General features: G+C 37.4%; 1 protein-coding gene across 1 annotated transcript; it reads left to right on the forward strand.

Moving 5' to 3' along the window:
* Positions 1-1,717: 1,717 nt before the first annotated feature.
* OTOL1 (otolin 1) lies at positions 1,718-8,852 on the forward strand. Its single transcript, NM_001080440.1, has 4 exons — positions 1,718-2,081; positions 4,081-4,170; positions 7,217-7,279; positions 7,936-8,852. Exons 1-4 carry the CDS (start codon positions 1,718-1,720, stop codon positions 8,850-8,852), a joined length of 1,434 nt encoding a protein of 477 aa, NP_001073909.1.
* The last annotated feature ends 286 nt before the right edge of the window (positions 8,853-9,138 follow it).

The following is a 9,138-nucleotide window of genomic DNA, read 5'->3' on the forward strand; positions in this document are numbered from 1 at the left end:
GTAATGTGATGCCTTTGGCTTTGTTCTTTTTGCTTAGGATTGCTTTGGCTATTAGGGCTCTTTTTCTGGACCCACATGAATTTTAGAGTAGTTTTTTCTAGTCATATGAAAAGTGACATTGATAGATTGAAAGGAATAGTGTTGCATCTATCAATTGCTTTGGGCAGTATGACCACTTTAACAATATTGATTCTTCTAATCCATGAGCATGGAATGTTTTTTCATTTATTTGTGTCATGTCTGACTTCTTTCAGCAGTGTTTTGTAGTTCTTCTTGTAGTTCTCCAGATCTCTTACTTCCTTCCTTAGATGTACTCTTAGGTATTTTTTTTCGTGGCCATTGTAAATGGAATTACAATCTTGATTTGACTCCCAGCTTGAATGTTATTGGTGTACAGAAATTCTACTCGTTTTTGTACATTGACCTTCTTTCCTGAAACTTTGCTGAAATTATTTATCAGTCCCAGGAGAATTTTGGCAGTCTTTAGGGTTTTCTAGGTATAGAATAATATTTTCTGCAAAGAGAGAGAGTTTGACTTCTTCTTTTCCTATTTGAATGCCATTTATTTCTTTCTCTTGTCTGATTGCTCTGGCTAGCACTTTCAGTACTATGTTGAATAGGAGTGGTGAGAGAGAGCATCATCGTCATGTTCCAGTTCTCAAGGGGGAATGGAGAGCTGTTGTGAGACCTGATTGGATTGATTAATGTACGGCATCTACTCAGAGTAGGGACTGTATAAACAGTAGACCTTTTTAATCTCTTTATTTCCATTCTATTTACTCTCTTACTATTTATCTTAATTATGGCTGCCTTCTCCTATCAGGAAATGTGGATTTATAACCCTGGCTATCTGTTAGCACCCCTTAGACTACTGGGAGTTGATTTGGAATGGAATACTCTGAACTATCAAAATTTCACCTCATTAGAAACCTTACATCATATCACTTTGGACATTGCCAAAGCTCTTTTTAGAATAACCACATTTTGCCCCATTAAAATAATACAAGAATAAACATGAATTTCTAGAAAAACTCCCCAAATTACAAAGCAAAGAGGTGGAGAGTTAAATGCCATGTGAAGAATCTAAGAATGTAGCATATATTCAAATTTATTATTTTTAATTGTCTCTCTCTTCACTTATTAAAATAGATTTTAAAAAATTGCTCTCACAACAGGACCATTATCCTTAGTAGATTTAAGGACTATTTCACCATATTTTTTCTTGAAATAATTGAGTTTGCTGGAATAAACTACTCAGTTCAATATTTTTCATCTCCCTCTAATACAAATGTATTTGATTTCTATAAATCTGAGTGAAATCAGTGAGGAAATTATACACATTTATCTTCCACAGGGTATATGAGCTATTGAGTCATGTTGTATTTATTGTAGATCATGTTTGCTATTTGGCCAGATAGTTTGAATAGTTGGGAACAATATATAATACTAAGAAAATAACCAGAAAGATGAATGGAAGTAAAGTGTTCTTTATAATAAATAAGTACATAAAATATTCTGTAGTGATTCAAGTACACATTTACATGTAAAATATATTGAAAATATATCATTCTATATTATGCATATCATTCATTCTTATGATTCATATACATATATATTTCTTTTATATGAGTATATGTTTATATGACTTAGTCTTTTCATTTGGACCTCACATAATATGTATATATTTTCCTATTATATCTTTCTTCCAGCTTCAAATATGTGGATGTTTTCTTGGCTTTGTGCTATTTTAATTATTTTGGCTATTGCTGGTATGAACACAATAGCAAAGACCACACCACATACCAAATTTACGAAGAAATCTGAGGAAAGAGAGATGCCAAAGGGTCTAAAGCCATCCAGTGGCCCACCTCCAGAAGAAGAAGAAACCCTCTTCACAGAAATGGCTGAAATGGCAGAACCAATTACCAAACCCTCGGCCTTGGATTCTGTCTTTGGCACTGCCACTCTCTCTCCCTTTGAAAACTTCACTCTTGACCCAGCTGATTTCTTTTTGAATTGTTGTGATTGTTGTTCACCTGTACCCGGGCAGAAAGGAGAACCTGGAGAGACTGGACAGCCAGGTATTAGAAAATATAAGAAGTCATGTTTCTCACTTGTACATTGGTAGAGTTGAGAGGTAGGTTGTCGGGTGAAATTGCCCCAGGAGTTTCTACGTTGTTATGCAAATAGTAACAGGTCTAGGTGTCACATTGTTACAAATGTAAATGGGTGCTGTGTTGCCCAATGTGGTAATTAATAAATATTAAAATTAAAATTGAATAAGGTAAAAAATTCAGTTCATCAGTCACATTAGCCACAGTTCAAGTGCTCAACAGCCACTGTATTGGGCAGCACAGATAGCATTTCCATCATTGTAGACAATTCTACTGGACAGTGCTGGTGAGAGCAAAGTCAGGAATTACCAACTCCAGCATGGTGCTCTGGTTCTTCAAGATGCACAGGTTTATTACCAGTACAATTTTTTAAATTAGTGGCTGATTTAAAAAGGGTAAATGAAACTTCTGTTGCCTTGCAAGAATGTGTGCTGACTGATGGATTTTCTGAGTGCTATTTGTAGTTAGGATTAGAAATGGAATGGCTCTGAGGTGGAGAATAAAGCTTAGGATTCCATTTGCTTCTCATTGAATTTCTGAGGCAATACTGTGTCATTGCCCAATGATTTTCTCCATTGAACACCATGGTTATGTATTTCAAGATTTCAGATGTCTATAATATATACATAATGAATATAGTCTTGGCTTTATTCTAATACATTTCAGCTTTTACATGTCATCTAGAAGAGAATTCAAGGTAAAGTTAAGATCAGAATGTCAACTTAAAATTCACCATTGCCTGAGGAATTTAATGTTATAAACTAAGCAATTATACATCTTCACCAAGCTTTTCATTCATTTCATCCCTTTGTAGGGACCTTTTGGGAAATGCGGTTAGTATTTATGCAGAGCTGCATTAAGGAGTAAAGGAGATGGGCCGTAGCTTGGGTACCAAGATGTCAGGATTGCTAAAACATTACTGAAAATTTAATGAGACTGAGAAAATTATATTTACCAGAAGTCTTAGTATCCTATCTGGCTGGTAAGCTGCTTGGCGGTGAAAATCCCAAGGGCATGGTCAAGTAGACACAGCTGGTTGCTAAACTATTTGCTAAGGCTGTGAGTTCTGTAACATCAGGGCTTTTGTTTTACCCAGTGGTGGATTTAGCTGTGCTGTTCTCAGGGTTCATTCTCTCCTCTAAATATATATGACAAATAATTCCAAGGTGTGCCAAGTTATTACCCTGCCTGGGGAGCTCATATGTCTTAGTCTGACTGGTTCTGCCACAGAGCATAGTGCTTGAGAGCTTAGAATGCTGAGACTATCTTGGTCCTACTTAGGGAAGCTACTCTGCTTTGGGAAATCTTAATCTATTCTTTGGGTCTTAGCTTAATACCATTTTCTCAAGGAAGCCTCTGATCTCATCAGTTAAGTCCTCAATAAGACCTTCGTATTTTTCTTTATATCATTTACTACAATGTGACAATTTCTACGTATTTGTGTGGCTATTTGTTAAATGTTTATCTTTCATAGACTCTCAGCTTCATGAGAGTAGGGACTGCTGGAATGTTGATGGCTGCATTCCTAACACCTTGCAGGGTGCTTGGTGTATAGGATGCCTCAGAAATAGTTAATGAATGAATGAGTAAGTGAATAAAAGGGAAATCCAAAGGTGCTAGGTGTTGTTTTTACTTCCAATGTGAAAGTGTGGTCCATATGAGGTTAAGTGTCAGATTATCATTTTGTTCTTGTTTGATATAGTGCTGCTTCCCTGAATCATTTGATCACTGCCATGAATACAGTGACAAGTACTAATGGTCTCAATTTATCTATTCAGGTAGTACGAAATTGCAAATCAGACAAAAATATTGCCCTTAGGACTCTGTGTGGTTTATTCTTACTCAGATTTTACCATTAGGTCATTGATACTTATTGATTGCAGTAAAATGCTTTTTTTCTTTCCTGAACTAATGAACTTTAAAAGAGAAATTTTATATTCTGATGTATTTAAAATCCCATTTCTAGGTCCTAAAGGAGAGGCTGGAAATTTGGGGATCCCAGGGCCACCAGGAGTTGTTGGGCCCCAAGGCCCTAGAGGCTACAAAGGAGAGAAAGGTAGGTAATTCATTCATGTCAAAACTCAAGGGACATTCTGCATCATTTTTCAGGAGAGCAATTTGCTACTTAAAGACTAGATTCTTGCAGATGAGTCAATTTTAAAAATGTAAATACTTGATAAAGCACATTATATTTGATATAAATATGTTAACTTTATAAACAGCCAATTGAGAAATTTTAAACTTACCTGGGAACACTGCACACATGCATGCAGGCACACAGATTGTCACACAGCTTTTCCATCTCTCATTGGTCACCTAGCTGACCTAGTGACAAGCAGCCACAGAGTATAGTCTCTGGGGAAGGGTATAGAGATACCCTTCCTGTACATGCTCATGTTAGCCTACTTCCTTTGGATGCAAATAATTTTGTATTAGATGGAACTAACTAGAGCAGGCAATTCTCTGAATATTCAGTTTAGGTGGATAGTATGCCTGCTAAGAAGAATTTAATATATCCCTTGGCTCACTCTGAAATCAGAGGCAGTGTCAGTGGTGGGAAGACAACTTAATTAAAACAGAAGTAATCAAGCTTATAATAATGACATTGGGCAAGTCATTTTCTTTCACCTGGAAATTGAAGGAAATGAACTAGATATTTATTTATATCTTGTTTACTATCGAAGAAGATTTGTAGTTATGAGTGGCTTTATAGCTCTTTTCAAGCTCAGAAATTCTGTAATTCCATAGGTGTATCAGTAAAGAAGGCTTTCTGCCCCAGGAAATCCCTGGTTCTGTAAGTGCTTAAAGGTACTGAAGGAAGGCTACAGATTCACTAGGATATTTAGAAATTCCTCAGTGAATACCAGCAGCCTGTAGAAATACCATCTATCCATCAAGTTAAATGTTTTAGCCTCAGTGTCACATGTCAAAAGGCCTAATACCATCTATATATCACCCTCCACATGGCTCAGGAACTGCCTAACTCATTTCTGGTAGAACATTCAGTGAAGTAATTACTCAAAAAAATGCTAAGGGAAGAGAGAGCTACTTCACACTTGTCAGTTATGTGATTTTCATTCTTGGAAACATTTAATCCTTTTGTGCCTGAATTATGTTAGCAGAAAACCTTGTGAAATAAAGATGAGTGATGAACCTCCCCAGTGATTCATACATTTTGGAAGCTAGACTTCTGGAAATAGAAGAAAAAAATAGGGAAGTGTAATAAAATAAGGTTCTTAAGAATACACTTTGATGAAGGATCAAAAGTAGAAATTCATTCAGCCATTCTTTATAAAGTAGCAACTCTACTTTCCTTTCACTTCCAGACTTAGCTTGGACTCTTGGTTAAGATAGAAAGTTAGAAAAAAAAATGAGTTGAATGATTCCATTCTAGTTAATCATTACCTGGTTGAGTAAATTAGGGGAAGCAATTAAACTCTTTCGAGGAATTCAAGAAGCAGTATAACTCTGTGTGGTGAAGGTTGGTATTTGAGTATTGGCAAAGGCTAGGAATACAATCGGCTCTTCCCTTCCATTTAGGGCTGGGTTTCTCAAAATGCGTCCAGTTATTTTCCTGATGGCCTAAGGTTTAATTTCCAAATTTTGCATTTCATGCGGAGTGGTGTTGGGGTAGCTAGCAACTTAGAAAACTCTGCTAAATGACCTATGGTGGGATTTCTCTAGTTGATCTTGTGAAACTGGAGGGAGTCTATTCTCACCACTTTTAATTTGGCTTAGGATTTATTTTTTCCCTCACAAAAATAAAACAAAAGATGTTAGTTATATCATAAACAATATAGGTAGCAAATTGATGCCAACCAATGTTATATGTAGTTGTATTTGACTCTGTCCAGTGCTTTAAATTTTTTCATATCTCAGCTTCTTTTGTTGATAAAATGATGACAAAAATATCTTCCCTACTTTTCTTGAAGGGCAGGTGCTATAAACTTTTGTGAATTTGAAATTTTCCAACTGATTAAATGTGTTCTGCTATATGAACCTGTGTGCTATAGAAGAGGCTGTGTTAATGTCAAGTAAAAATTATATTAAATAAAAAGGCTGGATTAAGTAAAAAAAAGGTAAGAGCTTTGAACAGTATCTGTGCAAAGTAAATGTGTAATAAGAGTGAGATATTATTAATACCATTATTATTGTTATGGTAATTTATAGTTGAAATCAATTCAGTGTGACTGAACTATAATAGTATGGGCTGTTAGGCCCAATATAAAAATATATTTTATGGTAATATGACAAATATCTGAAAATCCAGATGTTTTCATTTTTTTCAACTATGAATTCCTACAGTTCTATACTTACATAGATACTCTATATAAAGAACAGTTTTTTTTCCCGGACTTTTTTTTCTTATCATTGGTTTTAGCCAACTACAGGATGTTGTGCACTCTGTTTAAACTTGTAGGGAACATGGCATTATTTCTCAGGTGTTGTGGCCATATAAAGAAGGCATTTTAACTTTATTCAAAATTCATATTGGGAAAAACATGAATACATATATATATAATACAAGCAGAATGTCATGAGTTTTATGAGAGGTTTGAAGAGCCATGGAAATGCTGAGGGCAAAGATGAATTCTGTTTGAAGGGATCACTGCCTCCAGATCGCTAAAATAGTTTACCAGTTGAAATTAATTATTCCTAATGACCCTCAATACATTTTTTTTGACCAAGTCTCACTCTGTCACCCAGGCTAAAGTGCAGCGGTGTGATCTCAGCTTACTGCAATCTCCACCTCCTGAGTTCAAGCAATTCTTGTGCCTCAGCCTCCCAAGTAGCTGGGACTACAGGTGTGCACCACCAAACCCGGCTAATTTTTTGTATTTTTTGTAGAGATGGGGTTTCACCATGTTGGCCAGGCTGGCCTGGAACTCCTGACCTCAGGTGATCCACCCGCCTCGGCCTCCCACAGTGTTGGGATTATAGGAGTGAGCCGCCGTGCCTGGCGTACATTCTTTTTCCACACGATTTAACTTTAGCCCATTTTGGTTAAAGAAAACACTAGAATGTGACATGGTTGTGAGAGGAATATTAAATATATCATAAATGATGTAGTTGGTAAAAAGTTAATCTTGGTATCATCTTAGGACTCAAAGGAGAACGTGGGGACCAAGGAGTTCCAGGATACCCAGGAAAACCGGGAGCACAAGGTAGAGCATGAAATGTATCTACTGTGTACAGTCAGGTGCGCAGTATAGCCCTTCATTCTCTTCCTGCTTGTATTTAAAATTATCAGAGAGGTAAGCTGAAAATACAAATTACTGTTATTCTTCTAATAATTCAGTGTACTGACTCAGTGAAGGAGAACCAGTCTAGGAATTTGGAGACCAGGTAATAGTATCTGTGCTCTGCTTCTCTCTCTAGCTGTCAATGGAAAATAAAAATCCCTCACTCGTTCTGGGTCTCAGTTTCCTTGCCAATAATAATTTAGGCTTGAATGGACAATATGGGGATTTAGGGGAATACCTGGGTTAGGCCAAAATGCAAAGGGTAATGGAATACAACGAACAACTACAGTCCTAATATTCTTTATTATCTTAAAAGTGAAAAAACAAAAAGAATTAGATATATGGCATCTGAATATAAGCCACTGTTTCTTGGAAACATTAACTATTCCCCTTCTAAGAGCATGGCATAATATAAATTATTCATTGTCAGAGCCTCCTAAGTGTGCACAGTTTTTACTGAGGAAAGAATCAGGTTTCCTAATTAGTAGGTTTGTTTCTACTTTTTTGAGCTCTGTGGTAATAGCATGCTGTTTATGGCCTATGTGATCCTTAAACATTATTTTAATTTTCCATTTCAGGTGAACCTGGCCCTAAGGGAGATAAAGGAAACATTGGTTTGGGAGGAGTGAAAGGACAAAAAGGCTCCAAGGGAGACACATGTGGGAATTGTACCAAAGGAGAAAAAGGAGACCAAGGGGCTATGGGCTCACCTGGCCTGCACGGAGGGCCTGGCGCCAAGGGAGAGAAGGGGGAGATGGGGGAGAAGGGGGAGATGGGGGATAAGGGCTGCTGTGGAGATTCTGGGGAGAGGGGAGGAAAAGGACAGAAAGGTGAGGGGGGTATGAAAGGGGAAAAAGGTAGCAAAGGAGACAGTGGAATGGAAGGCAAAAGCGGCCGTAATGGTCTGCCTGGGGCCAAAGGTGATCCAGGGATTAAAGGAGAAAAAGGAGAGTTAGGTCCTCCTGGTCTCCTGGGACCTACTGGGCCGAAGGGTGACATTGGCAACAAAGGGGTCCGAGGCCCCACTGGGAAGAAGGGCTCTCGGGGCTTTAAAGGCTCCAAGGGTGAGTTGGCTAGAGTGCCCCGGTCGGCTTTCAGCGCTGGTTTGTCAAAGCCATTTCCTCCTCCTAACATCCCCATCAAATTTGAAAAGATTCTCTATAATGACCAAGGGAATTACAGTCCTGTCACTGGGAAGTTTAACTGCTCTATTCCTGGGACATATGTTTTTTCCTACCATATTACGGTGAGGGGGCGACCTGCTCGAATCAGTCTGGTGGCCCAGAATAAGAAGCAGTTCAAGTCCAGAGAAACTCTCTATGGTCAGGAAATAGACCAGGCCTCTCTCCTCGTCATCTTGAAATTAAGTGCAGGAGACCAAGTCTGGCTTGAGGTGTCAAAAGATTGGAATGGGGTGTATGTCAGTGCTGAGGATGACAGCATTTTTACTGGGTTCCTTTTGTACCCAGAGGAAACTTCTGGAATTTCACCATAAATTTGTGTCCTGAATCCTGTAGTTTAGATTCAGTGGAATAAGTCAGTTAACACAGAGTAGTGCTATTAAAAAATAACTTCCATTTTTTCAAGATTATAAAAATAATACAGAAAAATTTAAAAAGTCACCTAGTCAATTATTATTCCTATTTTAAGGCACCTCCTTTAAAAATATTTATATGTATTTCAGAGCATATGTCTATTAACTTTGTAGGTAGCTTTTAAAATTTGGCATTATTAGCATTAGTCATTCCATTTAAGCATAATAATTAATATTTGTATACAAA

Source organism: Homo sapiens, chromosome 3, assembly GCF_000001405.40.
Source record: "Homo sapiens chromosome 3, GRCh38.p14 Primary Assembly".
NCBI lineage: Eukaryota > Metazoa > Chordata > Mammalia > Primates > Hominidae > Homo > Homo sapiens.